Raw genomic sequence first — 24,426 nt, 5'->3', positions numbered from 1 at the left:
CATTTCTCATATGTACATTTTCTTTCCTTTGTTCTTCAGTTACATGGTGATGAATTTTGTCCTGTTTTGGATGCAACATTTGTAATGGTGGCTCGTGATTCTGAAAATAAAGGGTAATTGCTATTTTTTCATAATTCTTTATTTTGAAGAATTTCAAAGATACATAAGACTGGAGAGAAAACTATAATGAATGTCCATATACCTATCACTTGGACGTAACAGTTTTAATTGCAATTTCTTGGCCATTTTTATTTTAAGGCAAATCCCAGACATGACATTTCACTCTTAAATACTTCGGGCATCTTTTAAAAAATGAGAATATTCTCAGGCCGGGAGAGGTGGCTCACGCCTGTAATCCCAGCACTTTGGGAGGCCAAGGCTGGTGGATCACTTAAGGTCAGGAGTTGAAGACCAGCCTGGCCGGCATGGTGAAACCCCATCTCTACTAAAAACACAAAAATTAGCTGGGCGTGGTGGCACGCGCCTATGGTCCCAGCTACTGGGGAGGCTGAGGCACGAGAATTACTTGACTCTGGGAGGTGGAAGTTGCAGTGTGCCGAGATTGCGCCATTGCACTCCAGCCTGGGCGACAGAGCGAGACTCCATCTCAAAACAACAACAACAAAAAGAGATGTTGCACAATTCTGTGAATACACTAAAAGCCGTTAAATTGTACACTTTCAATGGGTGAATTGTGTGGTATGCGAATTATACCTTAATAAAGCTGTTATCAAAAAAAAACAGACTTACAGACATAAAAATCAAATGTAATTTTTTGTTAGGCATGACAATAGTAATGTAGTTACTTAAGAGAATATTATCCTTTTTTTTTTTTTTTTTTTAAGATGGAGTTTTGCTCTTGTTGCCCAGGCTGGAGTGCAATGGTGGGATCTCGGTTCACTGCAACCTCCGCCTCCTGGGTTTGAGCGATTCTCCTGCCTCAGCCTCCTGAGTAACTGGGATTACAGGCATGTGCCACCATGCCTGGCTAATTTTTGTATTTTTAGTAGAGATGGGGGGGTGTTTCACTATGTTGCCCAGGCTGGTCTCGAACTCCTGACCTCAAGTGATCCACCCACCTCAGCCTCCCAAAGTGTTGAGATTACAGGCGTGAGCCACCATGCCCAGCTGAGTTGTGCAATCTCTTAAATCTGTTTTAATCCAGAACAGTTGTGTCTTCCCCTATTGTTTCTTATTCACTCGTTGAGAGGCTGGATCATTTGTTCTAAATAGTGTCCCACTTTCTGGATTTGTTCTATTGCTTTCTCATGGTGGTTTGTTTGTTTGTTTTTTGATCTTGTTTCTCTATCCCTAGTAATTTCTCTAAACTGAAGTTAGATCTAAAGCCTTGTATTAGATTTAGGTTGAGCATATTTGGTGAGAGTACTACATAGATGATGTTGTATATCTCGTATTTCATATTGCATCGTATCAGGAGGTACAGGTTGTCCCACTCACAGTGATGCTAAGATTAGTGTGTGGGTTCAAGCAGTTACAGCCTAATCTCTCCTTTGTGAAGTTCAGTTTTTCCTCTTCTGATCAGCAACAATCTACAGGGGTGTACTTTGTCATCCTGCAAATAGCTGAGTTTCCCATCAGTCTTTTTCCAGTGCTTTCAATGTCCACTGCTGATCATTGCTTTAATTAGTATCATTAGGCAGTTTAGAGTAATTCTCAAATTTTGTCATTCCTTCTATGTTTGTTAGCTGGAATTCTGTAAAGAAGAGCGTTCCCTTAACAACTAGGGCGATTGGGTTTGAAATGGAGTTAGGATCAATGCTTCATTCTTGTCTTTTATTTACATGTTTTCAGAATAAGGAGTTGGTTCACTAGCTAGTGATGACATGCTTTTCCCAGTTTTTTAGCTTTTTAGAAAAGTATCATGTTTTTAAATTTCTTTTTTTTTTTCTGTGTGTGTGTGTTTTTGAGATGGAGTCTCGCTCAGTCACCCACACTGGACTGCAGTGGCGCAATCTCGGCTCACTGCAGCCTCTGTCTCCTGGGTTGAAGAGATTCTCCTGCCTCTGCCTCCCAAGTAGCTGGGACTACAGGCATGCCCCATTATGCTTGGCTAATTTGTTTTGTATTTATAGTAGAGACGGGGTTTCACCATGTTGGCCAGGCTGGCCTCGATCTCCTGACCTCAAGTGATCTGCCCACCTAGGGATTCCAAAGTGCTGAGATAACAGGCGTGAGTCATTTCGCCCAGCCCGTTTTTTTTTTGTTTTTTTATTTTTTTTGAGATGAAGTTTTGCTCTTCTCTCCAGGTTGGAGTGCATTGTCATGTGTCATGAGCATGGCTCACTGCAGCCTGGGCCTCCTGTGCTCAAGCAATCCTTCCGCCTCAGCCTCCTGAGTAGCTGGGACCACAGGCACATACCACCATGCCGAGCTAATTTTTTTTCTTTCTTTCTTTTTGAGATGGAGTTTTACTCTTGTTGCCCCGGCTGGGGTGCAGTGGCGCAATCTCGGCTCACTGCAACCTCCACCTCCTGGTTCAAGTGATTCTCTGGCCTCAGCCTCCTGAGTAGCTGCCCAGCTAATTTTTAAATTTTTTGTAGAGATGGGGTTTTGCCATGTTGGCCAAACTGATCTCAAAATCCTGGGCTCAAGTGATCCTCTCACCTCGGCCTCCCAAAGTGCTAGGATTACAGGTGTGAGCCACTGTCCTGCCAGAAAAGCATCATTATGAATTCATGGTTGTAATATATTACATGTATTTCAATAAATTGCAGCCATTGTTTCTCTTGATGCTCCAAGTGTGCCTTCTTTGGGCGGTGGGAGTTCCTCTAAGCTGGCTCCTTTCCACCTGTCTGTTTGATAGCTTCCTGCTGTCTGACACAAGATGTCTTGGGCTCATCTTACGTATTTCCTGCCCCAGGCCTGGAGTCAGCCATTTCTCCAAGTAGTCCTGGGGTTCCTTTTAGTGGGAACTGGTATTTAGACATCAAAATCTGGGCACTAGAACTGTACATTGTTACTAGTTTGTTATTGTTTCCAGGCCTTTTTAGTGGACAGAGCTAGGATATATTTTAAACAAACAAAAAACCTCATGAGAGCTGGGTGTGGTGGCTCACGCCTGTAATCCCAGCACTTTGGGAGGCCGAGGTGGGCAGATCACTTGAGCCCAGGAGTTTGAGACCAGCCTGGCCAACATGGCGAATCCCCATCTCTACTAAAAGTACAAAAAAATTAGCCAGGTATGGTAGCATGTGTCTGTAGTCCCAGACGATGTGGGAGGCTGAGGTGGGAGGATTGCTTTAACCCGGGAAGCAGAGGTTGCAGTGAGCCAAGGTCGCACCACTGCACGCCAGCCTGGGCGACAGGGCAAGACCCTACCTCAAAAAAAGAGCCTCATGAGTTTATATGGTCATTTTCAAGTCATTTAACCATATAGACTTCAACTTACTTTACGTCATCTTTTTTCTCTGAAATTGAATTCTTGGTTTCTAACAACAGTTACACCCAAACTGAGAAAAACTAATTGTGGGGGTAGAGCTGGGGTGGGAGGGATTGCTCTTTGCACAGGACAGAGTCCAGTGGCCTGTGGGAAATCTCATTTGTATTAGAAACTTGATTTAGGAGTCTGCAGTGAAAAATCTTTGCTGCTGCGTGGAAAGCTGACTTGGAAAGCCAAATTAAGATAGAAAAATATGTTGGTCCCTTAGTGATCTGAGGGAAGAATAACACCCATCTACTCTGGCCCTTCCTGCCAGCCCCAGCTGACCTGCTGTGGCCAGTGACTGGCCTGGGGCTTGTATTCAAGCACTGAGGCCACTGCTGCAAGTTTCACTCCCAGCTGATGCATGTCACTTTCCCAAGCTGTTGTTTCAATTCTTTTGTTTTTTGTTTTCAAGACAGAGGTTGGCTCTTGTCACCCAGGCTGGAGTGCAGTGGTGCTATCTCGGCTCACTGCAACCTCTACCTCCTGGGTTCAAGTGATTCTCCTGCCTCAGCCTCCTGAGTAGCTGGGATTACAGGCACCTACCACCACACCCGGCTGACTTTTGTATTTTTAGTAGAGACGGGGTTTCACCATGTTGACCAGGCTGGTCTCGAACTCCTGACCTTAGGTGATCCACCTGCCTTGGCCTCCCGAAGTGCTGGGATTACGAGCGTGAACCACTGCCCCCGGCCTGTTTTAATTCTTTTGTTTCCATTGTTGTTTCATCAAATCTTTTGATTCTACCACAGTGAAATATTATCCCTTTTCCCTTATTTTTTATTTCAAAAAATTTGATGCTTACAGAAAAGTAGATAGAATAATGCAACAAACGTATGCCTTTCACGTAAATTGTATTACATTTGCGTAATTCTCTTACCCTCTCTCTACAAATACACACATTTACATATTTTTTCCCATGAATCATTGGAAAGTAAGTTTGAGACTGCTTCACCCATTCAGGAGTTCAGCATGTATTTCCTAAGAACCAGGTATTTCTCCATAACCTCAATGCCTTTATTATATCTGAGAAATTCAACAGTGATACAGTTATTTAATATGTGATCCGTATTCAGATTTCACCAGTTGTCCCTAAAATGTCCTTTATAGCTATCTTCCTGATTCAGGACCCAATCCATCAAGGATTGTATATTGCATTTGGTTATCCTGTTTCTTTAGAATAGTCTCTCTGCCATTTGCTGTCTTTCAAAAATTGATATTTTTAAAGAGTTCAAGCCAGTTTTCTTTTTCTTTTTTTTTTTTTTTTCTTTTTTTGAGACAGAGTTTCGCTCTTGTTGCCCAGGCTGGAGTGCACTGGCACGATCTCGGCTCACCGCAACCTCCACCTCCTGGGTTCAAGCAATTCTCCTGCCTCAGCCTCCCGAGTAGCTGGGATTACAGGCATGTGCCACCACGCCCGGCTAATTTTGTATTTTTAGTAGAAACGAGGTTTCTCCTTGTTGGTCAGGCTGGTCTCAAACTCCCAACTTCAGGTGATCCCCACCCGGCTTGGCCTCTCAAAGTGCTGGGATTACAGGCGTGAGCCACCACGCCCGGCCTAAAGCCAGTTTTCTTGTAGAGTGTTCTACAACCTATATTTGACTGTTTCCTCATGATTAGAATCAGGTTAAACATTTAGCAGATGCCAGTATCCTTTTTATAATGTTAAGTTTCTAGTGTGCAATTAAGGCTGTAACTGTAAGGCTTCCCTAATTGTTCCAGCGTTCACATGTAAGGCAAGCAGTAAGCACTACCCAAAATGAAAAGCAGATTCTTTAAAAGTAGTAGGTGATTGTTCATCTTCAAGTTTTATTAGATAATGGCATATCTTAAATTATATTCTTTTTTTTCTTCTTTTTAGGCCGGCATTTGTAAATCCACTCATCCCTGAAAGCCCAGAGGAAGAGGAGCTCTTTAGACAAGGGGAATGTACATTAATTTGTTTATAATAAAATAAATTTGAAAAGCACATTAATTACGCTGCAGAAGAGATTATTTAAGATTTTATATGGGCTCTTCATACCAGTCAAATGTCTTTTTTTTGTTTGTTTTTTTGTTTGTTTTTTTTGAAATGGAGTCTCTCTGTCTCTTGCCAGGCTGGAGTGCAGTGGTGCCATCTCGGCTCACTGCAACCTCTGCCTCCTGGGTTCAAGTGATTCTTCTGCCCCAGCCTCCTGAGTAGCTGGGACTACAGGTGCGCGCCACCACACCCAGCTAATTTTTGTACTTTTAGTAGAGATGGGGTTTCACCATTTTGGCCAGGATGGTCTCGATCTCCTGAACTCGTGATCCGCCTGCCTTGGCCTCCCAAAGTGCTGGGATTACAGGCGTGAGCCATTGTGCCTGGCCCAAATGTCTTATTCATACCAATAATTTATTGAAATTAAAAATATGCTATTCTTTTTTCTTTGGAGTCCATACTTTGAATGATTTTATTGATCAGACAATATTTATTAAGTGAAGTAATTTGTTATCTCCGTTTTTTTTTTTTAGACAGTTCTTGCTCTGTTGCCCAGGCTGGAGTTGGGCTTGGGTCCAGGAGTTTGAGGCTACAATGAACAATATTGTAGTCTCGATCTCCTGGGCCCAAGCTATCCACCCACCTCAGCCTCCTGAGTAGCTAGGACTATAGGCACGTGCCACCATGCCTGGCTAATTAAAATTTTTCTTTGTAGAGACAGGGGTCTCACTATGTTGCCCAGGCTGGTCTTGAACTCCTGGACTCAAGCAATCCTCCTGCCTCCGCCTCCCAAAGTGTTGGGATTACAGGCATGAGCCACTGCACCTGGCCTGTTTTCTCCGTTTTAATGAAGTGAGAAATGCATCTCAATGGGATAACTGCAGGTCAGGGCTCTGGATCAGGATGATATCAAGTGATCTCACACTGAACCAATATAATTTCCATGTGGAACCAAAGACTCACTGGGAGTTTTATGTGGCCTCTGCAGTTTTCTCTTGGATACGTGTATAATTTTCAGTGAGATTTTGAAAGGCATCCCAGGTCAGAATACCGTGTGCTGTAGTGCGACCGTCCTGATCATTGCTCCTTATTCTCCCTTGTTCCAGTGAACAAGGGGAGAAGAATTGCCTTCAGCTCCACGTCGTTACTGAAAATGGCCCCCAGCGCTGAGGAGAGGACCACCATACATGAGATGTTTCTCAGCACACTGGATCCAAAGTAAGGATGGTGAGATTCCACGTTGGGAAAACATTTAAACCTTGGCCTTTTTTTTTTTTTTTTTTTTTTGAGACGGAGTTTCGCTCTTGTTACCCAGGCTGGAGTGCAATGGCACGATCTTGGCTCACTGCAACCTCTGCCTCCCGGGTTCAAGTGATTCTCCTGCCTCAGCCTCCGAGTAGCTGGGATTATAGGCATGCACCTCCACGCCTGGTTAATTTTGTATTTTTAGTAGAGACGGGGTTTCTCCATGTTGGTCAGGCTTGTCTTGAACTCCTGACCTCAGGTGATCTGCCTGTCTCCACCTCCCAAAGTGCTGGGATTACAGGCGTGAGCCACCACACCCGACCTTTTTTGTTTTTGAGATGGAGTCTTACCCTGTTGCCCAGGCTGGAATGCAGTGGCGTGATCTTGGCTCACTACAACCTCTGCCTCCCGGGTTCAAGCAATTCTCCTGTCTCAGCCTCCCAAGTAGCTGGGATTACAGGCGCCCGCCACCACGCCTGCTAATTATTTTGTATTTTTAGTAGAGACGGGGTTTCACCACGTTGGCCAGGCTGGTCTCAAGCTCCTGACCTCATGTGATCTGCCTGCCTCGGCCTCCCAAAGTGTTGGGATTACAGGCGTGAGCCACCGCGCCTGGCCTAAACCTTGGCCTTCTCCAGAGCCACAGTTGTCTGAGTGTATTGGGAGTGACTTGCAAATGTTTTTACTTTTCAACAAGAGAACCATGGCATTAACAGGGTTTAATAAATATTCATTTGTACAGGACTATAAGTTTTCGGAGTCGAGTTTTACCCTCTAATGCAGTGTGGATGGAGAATTCAAAACTGAAGAGTTTGGAAATTTGCCACCCTCAGGTATTATAATTTAGTGAGAAATCCGAATAGGATAGCTTCCGTTCATGATATTTGTCCAAGATTTGACACACCTTTAAACTGGCCTTTGTCCTGTGGCATTGTTAATTCCTCTGTTCTGTATACAAAGGTGGCCATAAGTTTTGTATTTATTGATATTTATTTATGTCCTGTAGGAGCGGAACATTTTCAATCGGATCTTTGGTGGTTTCCTTATGAGGAAGGCATATGAACTTGCGTGGGCTACTGCTTGTAGCTTTGGGTGAGTTACATGTAAGGCAGCCTTAACTTCTGAGAAGCAATTTATATCACCCCACTGAAATGAAACATTTCGGACCAGTCTGGGTGTGTGTGGGAATATGTTATGTTTTTGAATGAATACCACACTGATACCAGCTGAATTTGATCTTCATTTTAGAAGGTTGTTTCTCTGACTTTGTAAGTTCATACATTAAAAAAACTACTGAGAAAATACAGTGATGATATGTAGAAAGGAAAAGATATAGTTATTTTGGCCCTAATCTGCTCACGATGGCGTCTCTTACCATTTCTCACTGGTAGGATCTTTTCCCCCTTCTCTAACTTTATTCTTCGTTCATTTTTATTTTGCTTCAGCTAGTTGTTAGAGGAAACAATTGAGATCATCTGAATTTTGCAATATACCCCAAATTCTGTCCTTTCCCCCAACAGTGGTTCTCGACCGTTTGTGGTAGCAGTAGATGACATCATGTTTCAGAAACCTGTTGAGGTTGGCTCATTGCTCTTTCTTTCTTCACAGGTAGGTGTGTGATGAGAGATGACATACAACTTTTTTTTTTCATTTGAGCCTAGAAGTTTCTATATCAAAAAGCCACTGTTTTCTCTTATGACTGCCTTTTTCCCCTTCCTAATGCAGTTGACTGATTATAGTGTCTATAATCTGTTAGGTATGCTTTACTCAGAATAATTATATTCAAGTCAGAGTACACAGTGAAGTGGCCTCCCTGCAGGAGAAGCAGCATACAACCACCAATGTCTTTCATTTCACGTTCATGTCGGAAAAAGAAGTGCCATTGGTTTTCCCAAAAACATATGGAGGTAAGTAGTGATTATTGCTTGTCCCTAACAAAGGGAAGAACTTCTAAGGACATTTTTCTCCTTTTGAATTGGAGGAAGTGTATTGATGCCTGTCAGCACAAGAGCATGTCTTCAGGAGATTTTGCTTTTGAGATTTGGCAGCCCTGAAGGCCAAAGATGCCTGTGGCCCCCAGGCGGGCAAGCAACCACTGGTAGTCAAAAACTGATCCAGCCAGGCTGGGCGTGGTGGCTCATGCCTGTAATCCCAGCACTTTGGGAGGCCGAGACGGGCAGATCACGAGTTCAGGAGATCGAGACCATCCTGGCTAACACGGTGAAACCCCGTCTCTACTAGAAAAAAAAAAAAAAAAAAAAAATTAGCCGGGCACGGTGGCGGGCACCTGTAGTCCCAGCTACTCGGGAGGCTGAGGCAGGAGAATGGCGTGAACCTGGGAGGCGGAGCTTGCAGTGAGCTGAGATTGTGCCACTGCACTCCAGTCTGGGCAACAGAGCGAGACTCCGTCTCAAAAAAAAAAAAAAAAAAAAAACTGATCCAGCCAAAGGAAGGGGACAGGAGTCATGGCCTGCTCCTTTGGGAATGTGGCACACCCCGGCCCAACAGTGTATCTTGTTCTGTCCCAGTGTTCCCAAGTAGTCTTGTGTTTGTATGATGATATGATGGTTTTCTACGGTATTACAAGTTTCTCCAAGGTTCTCTTTCTTGTGTTTCAGAGTCCATGTTGTACTTAGATGGGCAGCGGCATTTCAACTCCATGAGTGGCCCAGCGACCTTGAGAAAGGACTACCTTGTGGAGCCCTAAGAACACCACATTTGTTGAAAACTAGCACTCTACCCACAGTGACGTGGTATCTGATGAAGACCTGATCGAGTGTATTGATTTTAGTATTGCTTCGTGTCCTCCACACAGGAGGAGGATGTATTCAGCCTTTAGGATGATCAGAAAAGCAGAAAGAGAGAGTGGCCGGATGGGGCTGAGGGGAGAAAGAATTATTAAACAATAAATACTTTCAAGACAATTTTAATTGTGAACCTACCATGTTGCCTCCCATCTTCTGAAAAAACAAAAAAATTGAGAGGCTGGGCGTGGTGGCTCATGCCTATAATCCCAGCACTTTGGGAGGCTGAGGCGGGCGGATCATGAAGTCAGGAGATCAAGACCATCCTGGCCAACATGGTGAAACCCTGTCTCTACTAAAAATACAGAAAATTAGCCGTGGTGGCATGTGCCTGTAGTCCCAGCTACTTGGGAGGCTGAGGCAGGAGAATTGCTTGAACCCAGGAGGTGGAGGTTGCAGTGAGCTGAGATTGCACCATTGCACTCCAGCCTGGGCGACAGAGAGAGACTGTCTCAAAAATTAATTAATTAATTAATTAATTGAGGATACCATTGGATGCATTCTTTTCTTACACATATTGCAACTGTCAGTATACAAGGTTTCCTGCCAGGGTATTTGGATGACGTTCTTTAAACCTAACCACTTGCTCTGTGCTGTCTAAATCCCATCAGCCGTACATGATTCCTTTGCTTCCCTCTATTTCCCAGCTTTTGTTGTCAGAGGGTAGATGAAAAGTTGGGGCGAAGGGATTTAACAAAAGTTACTGCATCCGTAAAGATTTGTGGGAAGATTTAGGTCTGAAACCATACCATTAGAAGGTGTTTAGAGATGATCTAGATAAGGAAATACAGGACCATTTGGTCATTCTTTCATTCACCAGACAGCTATTTAGCACATTCTGCTAGTGGCTCCGCAGGATATATCTGATTTAAAAAATAGGAACCACAATAATAATAGCTGCTTATGCTTATGGAGCATTGCCATGTGCTAGATAGGCACCATCCTCAGCCCTTGGCAGGTCTGAGCTCCTTTATTTCTTCCAATCAACACTATGAGGCAGGTTCTGTAACCCCCCTTAGGGTTAGGCCACTCGGGAAACTGAAGCACAGAGAGTTTAAGTAACTTCCTGGAGGTCCGACGCGTAACATGTGGAGGTGCTGGGATTCAAAACCAGGCAATGTGGGTCCCGGGCACTCTTGACCAGTGCCTGTACTTCTTCCAAGGAATAGAGCAAGGGAGGTCATACCGAATATCACAGTGTCACCTAGGAAGCCCAAGGGAGGTATTCCCGTTAATCTGCAGCCAAGGCCGGGCGCGGTAGCTCATGCCTGTAATCCCAGCACTTTGGGAGGCCAAGGCGGATGGATCATGAGGTCAGGAGTTCAAGACCAGCCTGGCCGAGATGGTGAAACCCCGTTTCTACTAAAAATACAAAAATTAGCCGGGCGTGGTGGCGGACGCCTGTAATCCCAGCTACTCGGGAGGCTGAGGCAGAGAACTGCTTGAACCTGGGAGGCAGAGGTTGCAGTGAGCTGTGATCATGCCACTGCACTCCAGCCTGGGTGACAGAACGAGACTCCATCTCAAAAAAAAAAAAAAAAAAAAATCTGTAGCCAAGACCGTTCCTTTTTTGACAGGAAGGTAACTTAGAAGAAAAAATAATCTCTGAAAAAAGTCCTCCCAAGAAGGAAGCAATATTTATTGTGGGTTCTACATTAGTGTTCACAAACTTGGCTCTGCCTCAGAATTAGGTGGAAAGTATTTTTGTGTGTGTGTGTGTGTGTGAGACAGAGTTTCACTCTGTCGCTCCAGCTGGAGTGCAGTGGCATGATCTTGGCTCACTGCAACCTCTACCTCCCGGGTTCAAGCGATTCTCCTGCCTCAGCCTCCTGAGTAGCTAGGATTACAGGTGTCAGCCCCCATGCCTGGCTAGTTTTTGTATTTTTAGTAGAAAGGCGGTTTCACCATGTTGGCCAGCTGGTCTCAAATTCCTGACCTCAGGTGATCCACCTACCTTGGCCTCCCAAAGTGCTGGGATTATAGGCATGAGCCACTGCACCCGGCCGGTGGAAAGCATTTTTAACAAAAAATTTTTAGGCCAGGCACAGTGGTGGCTCATGCCTGTAATCCCAGCACTTTGGGAGACTGAGATGGGAGGATCGCTTGAGACCAGCCTGGGAAACATAGTGAGACCCTTTCTCTACAAAAAGTTAAAAAATTATCTGAGCATGGTGGTGTGCACCTGTAGTCCCAGTTAGGAGGCTGAGGTGAGTGGATTGCTTGAGTCCAGGAGTTTGAGTCTGCAGTGAGCTATGATCATGCCACTGCACTCCAGTCTGGGTGACAGCAAGACCCTGTCTCAAGCAATTTTTTTATATTAGTTTATGTAATGTTTATTGAAATCACAGTGTCAACAAGCACCTCTGGCATGAAATAGTCACAGGAGCGAACACAACTATCTCTTGGAAGCATGCAGTTTGACTCATGGAATCAAGCATGTGCTGTACTATAATAACTTGTCTCTCCATGCCGTAATGCCATCCTGACTGAGATTTACCTGGCCCTTCAATATAGCATTTTGCATATCTACCTATGACATGATGGGAGGTGGCTAATGGGGAGGGATGCGCCCTGGGGAGTTTTGTGAATGTGTTAAGTGGAGTTAAGAGACCTACTGCATGCTATTGTATAGATTATACATTATATATTTAACCATTTGTTGCTGTACAGTGAAGCTTTTTCTAGTATTTCTTTTTTGCTATTATAAACAATGTTGCAGTAAATATCCTAAATACTCTAAAACATTTGACCCTTAAATTATTTTCTTTGGAAAAATATTAAATGAGATATTTAGGTCAAATAGTAGGCACACGTTGAAGGCTTTGAATATGTATTTCATGTAACCCTTCAGAACAGTTTCACACAATCACTTACACATCAGCAATTTCCCTGAACTTTGCCAATTTTTATCTTTTCTTTTTAAAATATCTTTGCCATTTTGATAGGTGAAGAATGACCTTCTGCTGGATGTGGTGGCTCACACCTGTAATCCCAGCACTTTGGGAGGCCAAGGCAGATTGCTTGAGGTCAGGAGTTCAAGACCAGCCTGGGCAACACGGTGAAAACCTGTTTCTACAAAAATACAAAAATTAGCAAGGTGTTGTAGTCTCACCAGTGCGCCAAAATGTAGCAGTCTTTGGTTGTCTGAGATAGTATCCGGAGTTCTTTGTGTCACAGAGCACGAACACAAGGGTGAGGTTGGAGCAAAAGTTTAGTAAGCAAAACAAGAAAGCTCTCGGCTGGATTCGGTGGCTCACACCTGTAATCCCAGCACTTTGGGAGGCCGAGGTCCGGAGTTCAAGACCAGCCTGACCAACATGGAGAAACCCTGTCTTTACTAAAAATACAAAATTAACTGGGCGTGGTGGCACACGCCTGTAGTCCCAGCTACTTGGGAGGCTGAGGCAGGAGAATCGCTTGAAGCCGGGAGGCAGACGTTGCGGTGAGTTGAGGATCGCGCCGTTGCACTTCAGCCTGGGCAACAAGAGCAAAATTCCGTCTCAAAAAAAAAAAAAAAAGCTCTCCGCAGCGGAGAGTGGGGGCCTGAACGGGTTGCCCACTATGAGGTTGGGGTCGGGGGTTTTTGCGGACTGGGAAGGGGAAGGAATTTGCTTAGTCTGTGAGCTGTCTTGGAGAAAGCTAGATTCAGCTTGGCCCGGGACCAATCAGGAGCTGAATTGATGATTCATTGAGACCACTCAGCTTGGCCCGGGACCTATCAGGAGCTGAAGTGAAAGCTTGGCCCGGGGACCAATCGTGCTGAAGTAATTCTTAGAGGCCGGGCTCACAGTCGAAAGAGGAAAGGAAAGTGCCCATCGGAGTCGTCGGAGCCCACAGTATTAATGCCCACGAAAGGAGAAGAAACTTTTTCCCGGGAACCTGCTGATTATACAAAAGACAAAGACATTTCTATGTCAGGTCTTGTTCCCTTATCTGAGTGAGCTGGAGGTTTGTGCAAGTTTTTATCTAAGTGGGCTGGAGGTTCTCGGATCTGTGCAGCCGCGGGCTTGTCTCCAGGCACACCACCACCCTGTGCTACTTCCCTTATCGGTGCCTGCAGCTTGATTTTTATCCCCAGGCTGCTTTCTCTGTTCTGTGGGGATGAGGCACTGACCCGTGGGTTGGGGGCTCTTTGGGGACCCTTCCCTTGCTGTCTACCTAAGGAAAGCTAGCTAACTCCTCTCAGAGTGATGGTGCACACCTGTAGTCCCAGCTACCCAGGAGGCTGAACTGGGAGCATTGCTTGAGTCCAGGAGTTTGAGGCTGTAGTAAGCCAAGATCACGCCACTGCACTCCAGCCTGGGCAACAAGTGAAACCCTGTCCCCCCCCACCCCCCCAAAAAAAGAAAACTGACATTTGTTAATTGCCTTTCTCTGAATTCTACTGAGATTGAAATTAAATTGCTTATTGTTTTTGTTGTCTTTTTGTTAAATTGCTCACGTAATTTTGGATACCAGAATCTTCACCCCAAATCTGTCCTCTACCAATACAGATATAAAAGCTAGAGGTTTTGGTTTTTAATACAGGACTTTTAAGAAGATGAGGTGAAGCAAACTAACGGATATACACTAGGTTCTGGATTATTAGTGTTATGTCCCTCTCAAAGAATAAAGGAGAATTTTTGACCGGGAGCGGTGGCTTACGCCTGTAATCCCAGCACTTTGGGAGGCCGAGGCGGACGGATCACCTGAGGTCAGGAGTTCAAGACCAGCCTGGCCAACATGGTGAAACCCCGTCTCTACTAAAAATACAAAAATTAGCTGGGCATGATGGCAGGTGCCTGTAATCCCAGCTACTCAGGTGGCTGAGGCAGGAAAATCGCTTGAACCTGGGAGGCAGAGATTGCAGTGAGCCGACATGGCGCCATTGCACTCCAGCCTGGGCGACAGAGCGAGACTGCGTCTGAAAAAAAAGTTAAAGGAGAATTTTTACCCAGCACCAGCACTGCTAAGTTCTAGCATACATCTTCCTCATGTGAGTTGGACATTGTTTTATATTAAATAGTCTGTGCTGAGATCCCAGTTTTACTTCAGGCATTTATTACCAAGTTCTTAGTTTTTGCCTCCATGCTTCTTCAATGTGTAGTCTTTGAGGATGCTGTCTTTTTCACTGGTTTCTTTAGGAGAGTTTACTTCATTCTAGTATGCTTTGCACTGTGTTGGGCATGTCCATGTGATTCTGTGGTAACCCAAATCTTCTGTCAACGTGTTCCATCTGATACCTGTGTTTGCTCTGATCCAATCTGCTTTCTTGCACCTTTTTGAATAGAGCCAAGCACTTGACTCCTAGAGAACTGAAGTTGCACCCAACTCCCCTGGGGTTTCAACATTTTTCTTTTTCTTTTCAATTAGTTTGTGCAGTTTATCTTTCTAAAGATATACTTGATTCTGTGGGATGGCTGGGCTCACCTGGGAGGTTCTTCTGTTCCATGTAGCATTGGCTAAGGTCACTCAGTCAGCTCTGTTCATCTGGGAGTTCATCTGGGGCTGGGACATCTGGTGCCTCAGCTGGGGTGGCTGAGGTGGCTGGCTACCAGCCTGGTTGGATTTCTTTCTTTTTTTTTTTTTTTGAGTCAGAGTCTTGCTTTGTCACCCAGGCAGGAGTGCATTGGCACTATCTTGGCTCACTGCAACCTCCGGCTCCCGGGTTCAAGCGATTCTCCTGCCTCAGCCTCCTGAGTAGCTGGGATTACAGGCGCCCACCACCGCGCCCAGCTAATTTTTATTTTTTTAGTAGAGATGGGGTTTCACCATGTTGGCCAGGCTGGTCTCGAACTCCTGACCTCAAGTGATCTGCCTGCCTCGGCCTCCCAAAGTGCTGGGATTACAGGCGTGAGCCACTGTGCCCGGCCTTGGATTTCTTTTTTTTTTTTTTCTTTTTTTCTTTTTTTTTTTTTTCTTTTTGAGGTGGAGTCTCGCTCTGTCACCCAGGCTGGAGCGCAATGGCAAGATCTCAGCTCACTGAAACCTCCGCCTCCCAGGTTAAAGTGATTCTCCTGCCTCAGTCTACTGAGTAGCTGGGATTACAGGCACGTGCCACCATGCCCAGCTAATTTTTGTATTTTTAGTAGAAACAGGGTTTCACCATGTTGGCCAGGCTGGTCCAGAACTCCTGACCTAATGATCTGCCCGCCTCAGCCTCCCAAAGTGCTAGGATTACAGGCATGAGCCACCGTGCCCACCCGGCCTTGGATTTCTTAAATGGTGGCTTGAGGGCTCTAAGAGCAGCCAGATTCCCGGGTCTTAACCACAGCACCCTCCTTCCTCTCAAAGCCATTTTCTTGGAGGGATCAGTGGTGTCACTGAAGGTGGTAAGGATGAATACTGGGAAAAGGCCACTGATTGGATGATTAAGAGGTCCCTATTAAAAAGAAAGTTTCAGCCAGGCACAGTAGCTCATACCTGAAATCCCAGCTGAGGCAGGAGGATTGCTTGAGGCCAGGAGTTCAAAACCAGCCTGGCAACATAGTGAGACCCTATCTCTACAGAAAATAAAAAAATTAGCCGGTCGTGGTGGCACGTGCCTGTAGTCCCAGCTACTTGGAAGGCTGAGGCGGGATGATTGTTTGAGCCCAGGAGTTTGAGGCTGCAATGAGCTGTGATAGTGCCACTGCACTCCAGAGTGAGACAACAGAGTGAGACCCTGTCTCTAAAAAAATAATAAGTGCCGGGCGCAGTGGCTCACGCCTGTAATCCCAGCACTGTGGGAGGCCAAGGCAGGTGGATAACTTTAGGTCAGGAGTTCGAGACCAGCCTGGCCAGCATGGTGAAACGCCTATAGTCTCAGTACTTGGAGAGGCCAAGGTTGGTGGATTGCTTGAGTCCAGGAGTTTGAAACCAGCCTGGGCAACATGGTGAAACCCTGTATCTACAAAAAATAGAAAAATCAGCTGGGCCTGGTGGTGTGTCCCTGTAGTCTCAGCTACTTGGGAGGCTGAGGTGGGAGAATTGCTTGGGCCCAGAGGCAGAGGCTGTAGTGAGCCAAGATCGTGCCACTGAACTCCAGCCTGGGCAACAGAAGGAGACCCTGTCTCAAAAAAAAAAAAAAAAAAAAGATGTAATCATATAATTTTTATATGTGGCTAACACATATGTGTCAGGCACTGTACTAGTGACATTAAAATGTATACTCTCATTTAATCCTTACAGTAATTCTTTGAGATCAGTACTATTATTACCCACATTTTGCAGATGAGGAAACAGGCTTAGAGAGGGAAGGTAACTTCCTGAAGCCTAACTTGTAACTATATAAGTGGGAGAGGCGAGACTAGGTCTAGAATTTTGGTCCTTTGCCACATTTCTGACATATTTTCTCAGCTATTATAGTAAAGGGTTAACTAATGCCATCTATATATGGATCAGAATGCAGTCAAGTCTCAACCATAAGAATGAATTATGGCTGAAATGTTCTGGGCATTTGGTTTATTTCCTCTTAGAATAAAACTTTTGCGACAATTGTGATTGACTCTCTAAATTGACTTGTGGTTTTTTTTTTCTTTTGAGATGGAGTCTTACTCTGTCGCCCAGGCTGGAGTGCAGTGGCACGATCTCAGCTCACTGCAACCTCTGTCTCCCGGGTTCAAACAATTCTTCTACCTCAGCCTCCCGGGTAGCTGGGAGTACAGGCACCCGCCACCACGCCCAACTCATTTTTGTATTTTTAGTAGAGACTGGGGTTTCACCATGTCAGCCAGGCTGGTCTCAAACTCCTGAACTCGGGTAATCCGACCTCCTCTGCCTCGCCTCCCAAAGTGCTGAGATTACAGGTGTGAGCTACCGCGCCCAGCTGAGTTGTGTTTTCTTTCCCTTCTGTTGGCAGCAAGTAATGAATTTACTATAAAATAGGAAACAGAAAAGAGGAGTTAAAAGAAGGGATTAGGGCCAGACGTGGTGGCTCATGCCTGTAATCCTAGCACTTTGGGAGGCTGAGGCGAGCGGATATCTGGAGCCCAGGAGTTCAAGACCTCCTGGCCAACATGGCAAAGCCCCATCTCCACAAACAAATGAAAAAACTATCCAGGCATGGTGGCACGCATATGTAGTCCCAGCTACTTGGGAGGCTGAGGCAGGATAATCACTTGAACCCGCGAGGCGAAGGCTGCAGTGAGCCCAGATCGCGCCACTGCACTCCAGCCTGGGCGACAGAGCGAGACTCTGTCTCAAAAAAAATTATATATATATATATCCGCCAGGCACGGTGGCTCACGTCTGTAATCCCAGCACTTTGGGAGGCCGAGGCGGGTGGATCACGAGGTTAGGAGTTCGAGACTAGCCTGACCAACATGGTGAAACCCCGTCTCTACTAAAAATACAAAAATTAGCCAGGCGTGATGGCGGGCGCCTGTAGTCCCAGCTACTCAGGAGGCTGAGGCAGGAGAATCGCTTGAACCTGGGAGGCGGAGGTTGCAGTGAGCTGAGATTGCGCCACTGCACTCTAGCCTGGGCAACAGAGCGAGACTTTGTCTAAATATATATATATATATATATATATATATATATATATATATATATATATATATATATATATATAAAATATATATTTTTAGACAGTTTATATATATATAAAATATATATATATATTTCTAACTATGGGCTTGAAATTAGTAGGACATAAAAATGAGTGGGCTTGAATATTTAAAAAAAGAAAAAACATCAGAATGCATCATGCATAGTAATGTTAAGTGTTGTGTGACACGTTATGTATGCACATGGTACACACATCTACGTGAGTACTAGGTCACAATGTAAAATGTACTTCTACATGGATTATGGTTAAAAAGTTTGACCTTCCATCATGGATGGAAGGAGTATACTTAGTAAAGTTCACATACCTATTTAAGTTGTGCTTAGTTTTAAATTGTTCTGAATTTCTAAGTTATTTTCCTGTTTTTTAATAAATTAAATTTGTAAAAACATTAGTTTGACAGTTAATTGTTGCTCTTTTAGTTTAGGGTAACGCTCCCCCGCGTTACCCCCCACCCCCGGCGCACCCCCCCGCCCCCACCCCCATCCCCACCCGCCCCGGCTTCACAAGTGGCTGTTTGCTTTCTGTGGGCTGGGTGCCATCTTGTGGCCTTTGTGTTACAGTGCAGTGTATTCCCTTTAACACAACTTGGAAATCCTGTTTCTGATGTCCAGAGTGAACTGTACAAATAGCCAGAGCTTGAAGTAATGAAATCAAGACTACAGATTCCATTCTTTTTTTATTATTATTATTTGAGACAGGGTCTTGCTCTGTCACCCAGGCTGGAGTGCAGTGGCTTGATCACGGCTCACTGCAGCCTGGACCTCCTGGGCTCAAGTGATCCTCCCACCTCAGCCTCCCAAATAGCTGGGACCACAGGCGCACACCACCAGGCCTGGCTATTTTTAACAATTTTTTTATAGAGTTGGGGTCTCACTCTGTTGCCCAGGCTGGTCTCAAACTCCTGAGCTCCAGTGATCCTTCTGCCTCAGCCTCCCAAAGTGCTGGGATTACAGACATGAGCCACTGCCCCCAGCCTTGATTCAATTCTTAAAATTTCCATCTGGCCTTGGCCCCACATTTGACCCCTAACCCTAGCCAATCAACTCTAAAATATGTGCCATTTCCCAGTAGATAATCATCAAAGAGGAAAACCAGTCAGTCCTTGGTTCTCTTGACGTTGGGTGATAAGTACTGTCTTCTTCTGTAAGGGCTACTTGCAGATGATATGGCCTTCAGTGGAGAAATGGGAAATGGGTGTACACCTCTTCTTCCCTGTGAAACCTTCCCTCATTCCATCCCTGATTTTTCTTGTGGTTGTTTGTGCTCACCATGGAACCTCCACAGGAGCTGGTGTTTTTAGCACTTATTCCAAGGTATTGCAATTCCATTTTTAAATATTTATTTATTTATTTATTTGAGACAGGGTCTTACTCTGTCACCCAGGCTGGAGTGCAGTGGTATGATCATGGCTCACTGCAGCCTCAACTACCCCAGGGCTCCAGTGATCCTCCTGCCTCAGCCTCCCGAGTATCTGGGACTACAGGCGTGCACCATCACATCTGGCTAATTTTTAAATGTTTTGTGGAGACAGAGTTTCACTATGTTGCCCAGGCTGATCTTGAACTCCTGGGCTCAAGTGATCCGCCTGCCTTGGCCTCCCAAAGTGTTGGGATTACAGGCGTGAGCCTCTGTGCTTGGCCATAATTCCTTTTCTTACATGCTTATTTCACTTATGAGACTGTGGGCTTCTTGAGGGAAGGAATTGTATCAGATCTTTTTATTCCTATTGTCTAGCAAAGTCCCTTGCACATATTTAGGTAATAAATGTTTTTTGTGTGAACAAATATACGATTTAGGTGAATTTGGGTGTTCGAGTTGGCTTTTGAATTTGTTAATTAAAAAAAATTGTAAGTTTAAGACTCAGGAAGGAGGCTCTTTTAAAATATATTTTTGGGCTGGGCACGGTGGCTCATGCCTGTAATCCCAGCACTTTGGGAGGCTGAGGCGGGCCATTCACTTGAGGTCAGCCTGGCCAACATGGTGAAACCCTGCCTCTACTAAACATACAAAAATTAGCCAGACATGGTAGTGCTTGCCTGTAATCCCAGCTACTTGGGAGGCTGAGGCAGAATTACTTGAACCTGGGAAGCAGAGGCTGCAGTGAGCCGAGATTGTGCTGCTGCACTCCAGCCCCTCTCAAAATAAATAAATAAAATATATTTTTAGCATTTTACATAAATGTACAATATTATGCTAAAATTGTTATTTAGTAATAGGATTGGTAAAAATTACTTTGCTATATGAAACTAAATACATAGTAACTATGATAAACATTTTCTTTTCTGTTGAAAAGCTAGGTAAAAAATATGAGTTTATAGAAGCATCTGTGTGTGTATATATACATATGTATATCTATGTGATATCATTATATATATGTGATATCATTATATATATATAGCTTTTTGTCCATGGTTCCTGGCTCATAACTCCCATAGCCCTTATTATTTCCCAAGTGATTAAGCAATAAGCATATCTTTTGTTAAAGTGTTCGTCCTTTAGTCCTTGGTTCCTGAAGCAGCTTTGGAAGTGCTTCAGAGCGATCAAAGGAAAAGACCATCTTTGGTTTTAATGTGCGGGTGCTGTAGGCCTCAGAAGCAGGGCTCAGAAAACAGCCTCTCCCGCTGACCTTCTCATACTCTCCTTTTTCACCTGCTCCTTTGTCTCTCCAAGGCAGGCCATAGAAACTGAAAATATAATCTGCCCCCACCTTTGTATTTGGAGCCGGTCATAAAGAAATTCTCTGACCTACCTTGTCTGATTGTAGGTCATAAGATCCTCATTTTAGAAAGGGTCCTGCCCTCAACCCAGGAGGAAGGAGTGCCGTGCAGAGAGGCCAACAGGAATCTGGACAGGCCTTGCTAGGATTCCCCACTCCGTCTATTAGCATTAGATCATGCCCTTTTTGCCCAATCACGTTTTGCACTTGATCTTAGCCAAAAGGCCGAGAAGCGATCCAATCACATTTTGACACGGTTGTCCATGCTTCAGTCATGCCTATCCAATGAAGTCTCCATAAAAGGCCCAAGAGGACCAGGTACGCAGAACTTCTGGACAGCTGAGCTGGTGAAGGCTTGCAGGAAGGTGAACAAGAATTCACCCATGTGTTGGGATGATGGTGCACCCCAACTCCACGGGAATAGAAGCTCCCGTGCTCAGGACCCTTCCAGACCTCGCCCTATGTGCCTCTTCATCTGGGTGTTTATTCGTATCCTTCAAAATATCCTTCATAAGAAACTGGTAAGTGTAAGTGGGCGTTTCCCGGAGTTTTGCAAGCTGCTCTAACAATTGAGCCTAAAGAGGGGGTCATGGGAACCCCAACTTGAAGTCAGTCAGTCAGAAGTTCCAGAGGCCTGTACTTGGGAGCTGGTGTCTGAAGTGGGGGCAGTCCTGTGGGTCTGAGCCCTCAACCTGTGGTATCTGATGCTATATCCAGGTGGACAGCATCAGAATTGAATTGGATCAGAAGATTCCTGGCTGGTGTCCACTGCAGAATTGCTTGCCTGTTGGTGGGGAAAATCCCTACACCCTACACATTTGGTCACAGAAGTCTTCTGTATTGATTGTTGTCATGTGAGAACAGAGGAAAAACAGTTTTTCTTTTTCTTTTCTTTTCTTTTTTTCTTTTTTTTTGAGACAGGGTCTTGCTCTCTTGCCCAGGCTGGAGTGCAGTGGTGTGATCACAGCTCACTGAGGGCTTGACCTTTTGGGCTTAAATGATCCTCCTGCCTTAGGCTCAGGAACAGCTGGGACTACAAGTACAAGACACCACGCCTGGATAATTTTTATACTTTTTGTAGAGATGAGGTCTCACCATATCGTCCAGGCGGGTCTCAAATTCCTGGGCTCAAGTGACCTTCCTGCCTCGGCCTCCCAAAGTGCTGGGATTATAGGCATGAGCCACTGCACCCAGCTGTAAAAGTTTTTTGACCCTATATATATGTATGAATATATATAGACACACAAATACATAGATATGTGTATATATATTCCCCTCCACTGCAGACACTTTTATGAAACTTTTTTTTTTGAGAGAGAGTCTTGTTCTGTCACCAAGGTTGGAGTGCAGTGACACGACCTTGGCTCACTGCAACCTCCGCCTCCTGGGTTTAAGCGAGCACGTCCAGCTAATTTTTGTATTTTTAGTAGAGACGAGGTTTCACCATGTTGGCCAGGCTGGTCTTGAGCTCCTGACCTCAAGTGATTCGCCCGCCTCGGCCTCCCAAAGTGCTAGGATTACAGGTGTGAACCACTACGCCCGGTCTATGAAATTATTTACCTGAAACACATATTTTGTTACATCTTATATATTAATAACCTTGTATTCAAAGATTTCTCAGTGACATAGTGTTGTCACAAAGTTCATAGGGGGGTTAGGATACCAAAATATCATTAAATAATAAAATAGTAGTTAATGTGTTTGAGAACAAAATATACAACCTGGAAACCTAGTGACAGATGGGAAGTTTAGGATGTAGGGTTAGATGAGCTCTTGGACAGAGAAGAGACAATGGGGATGTGGTGGGGAGGGCGTGAGGAATGATCTCTTGTGTGAGATTCTAGGGACTAAGAAATCCCTGAAAGAGCTGTCCACCATGATCACTGGAAACCTCAGAACACTGGCCAGGCTTAAATGTGAAATATTCAACAGAAGACTAGAAATTATAGGGAGAAGCAGGGAATAATAGATGTCATTCATATATTAGTGCACTGGAAAGATATTGCCTGGTGTGTTTCATAGAAACTTCAGGTCACTTCCGTTTATTTGAGATGGAGTCTCATTCTGTCGCCCAGGCTGGAGTGCAGTGGCACGATCTCGGCTCACTGCAACCTCTGCCTCCCAGGTTCAAGCCATTCTCCTGCCTCAGCCTCCCAAGTAGCTGGGATTACAGGTGTCCACTACGAAGCCAAGCTAATTTTTTGTACTTACTAGAGATGGGGTTTCATCATGTTAGTCAGGCTGGTCTTGAACTCCTGATCTGAGGTGATCCACCCGCCTAGGCCTCCCATAGTGCTGGGATTACAGGTGTGTGCCACCGCGGCCAGTCAGTCACCTATTTATTTACATTTTTTTTTTGAGATGGAGTTTCGCTCTTTTTACCCAGGCTGGAGTGCAATGGCCTGATCTCGGCTCACCACAACCTCCGCCTCCCAGGTTCAATGGATTCTCCTGCCTTAGCCTCCTGAGTAGCTGGGATTACAGGTGTCTGCCACCATGCCCGGCTAATTTTTGTATTTTTAGTAGAGACAGGATTTCTCCATGTTGGTCAGGCTGGTCTTGAACTCCCGACCTCAGGTGATCTGCCCACTTTGGCCTCCCAAAGTGCTGGGATTATAGGCGTGAGCCACTGCTCCTGGCCTCCTATTTATTTACTAATTTTTTTTTTTTTTTGAGACAGAGTCTCGCTCTGTCGCCAAGGCTGGAGTACAGTGGCGTGATCTCGGCTCACTGCAACCTCCGCCTCCCGGGTTCAAGCGATTCTCTTGCCTCAGCCTCCCCGGTAGCTGGGATTACAGGCATCCACCACCATGCCTGGCTAATTTTTGTGTTTTTAGTAGAGACGGGGTTTCCCCATGTTGGCCAGGATGGTCACAAACTCCTGACCTCAGGTGATCTGCCCGCCTCAGCCTCCCAAAGTGCTGGGATTACAGGCGTGAGCTACCATGTCCGGCCTTATTTACTATTTTTTAAATGTTTGTGGGCAGGTCATCTCTTGATCTATTATTTTGGGTAAGCTCCTACTGTTGTGGCATTGTTCTGACCTCCTGCTGTACAGGCAGCTACTAAATGATACTGGTCTCCTCCTTTCCTTAGTCTCTAGAGCGGGTTTTCTCAACATTGCCACAGTTAACATCTTGAAGCAGAAAAGTCTTTGCTGTGGGACTGTCCTGTGCATTGTAGGATGTTTAGCAGCACCCTTGGCCTCTACCCACCAGATGCCAGTAGTAGTTTCAGTTTTTTTTTTTTTTTTTGAGGCGGAGTCTCACTCTGTTGCCCAGGTTGGAGTGCAGTGGCGTGATCTCGGCTCACTGCAAGCTCCGCCTCCTGGGTTCACGCCTTTCTCCTGCCTCAGACTCCCGAGTAGCTGGGACTACAGGCGCCTGCCACCACGCCTGGCTAATTTTTTTTGTATTTTTTTTAGTAGAGACGGGGTTTCACCGTGTTAGCTAGGATGGTCTCGATCTCCTGACCTCGTGATCCACCCGCCTCAGCCTCCCAAAGTGCTGGGATTACAGGCGTGAGCCACCGCGCCCGGCTGTATTTTCAGTTTTGACAATAAAAACATCCCAGATATTGCCATGTCTCCTGGGGGCAAAATCTCCATCCCTCCCCATTGAGAAGCACTGCTCCAGATTATGGTAGGTCAGCATCTTCTGGGAATAGGTCTCTAGTAGCTGCATCCTGGTTAGGCCCAGGGTCCATCGTCTCCAGTAGGGCAGGGGACTATCC

The 24,426-nt window shown here is 45.3% G+C and overlaps 1 protein-coding gene across 3 annotated transcripts in view; it reads left to right on the top strand.

Moving 5' to 3' along the window:
- The window catches only part of ACOT9 (acyl-CoA thioesterase 9), a 42,222-nt gene extending 30,029 nt beyond the window's left edge, over nucleotides 1-12,193 (top strand). For all 3 annotated transcript variants that reach the window (NM_001330259.2, NM_001033583.3, NM_001037171.2), the window contains 8 exons: nucleotides 40-113; nucleotides 5,304-5,371; nucleotides 6,509-6,620; nucleotides 7,390-7,480; nucleotides 7,654-7,739; nucleotides 8,168-8,255; nucleotides 8,404-8,554; nucleotides 9,266-12,193. In NM_001330259.2, the coding sequence (NP_001317188.1) occupies nucleotides 40-113; nucleotides 5,304-5,371; nucleotides 6,509-6,620; nucleotides 7,390-7,480; nucleotides 7,654-7,739; nucleotides 8,168-8,255; nucleotides 8,404-8,554; nucleotides 9,266-9,354 (759 nt within the window). In that variant the 3' untranslated portion in view covers nucleotides 9,355-12,193. The remainder of the gene's footprint in view (nucleotides 1-39; nucleotides 114-5,303; nucleotides 5,372-6,508; nucleotides 6,621-7,389; nucleotides 7,481-7,653; nucleotides 7,740-8,167; nucleotides 8,256-8,403; nucleotides 8,555-9,265) is intronic.

Source organism: Homo sapiens, chromosome X (genome assembly GCF_000001405.40).
Source record: "Homo sapiens chromosome X, GRCh38.p14 Primary Assembly".
In the NCBI taxonomy this organism is placed as follows: domain Eukaryota; kingdom Metazoa; phylum Chordata; class Mammalia; order Primates; family Hominidae; genus Homo; species Homo sapiens.
The sequence above is the reverse complement of the archived record's forward strand: the minus strand, read 5'-3'. Positions and strand labels throughout refer to the sequence as shown.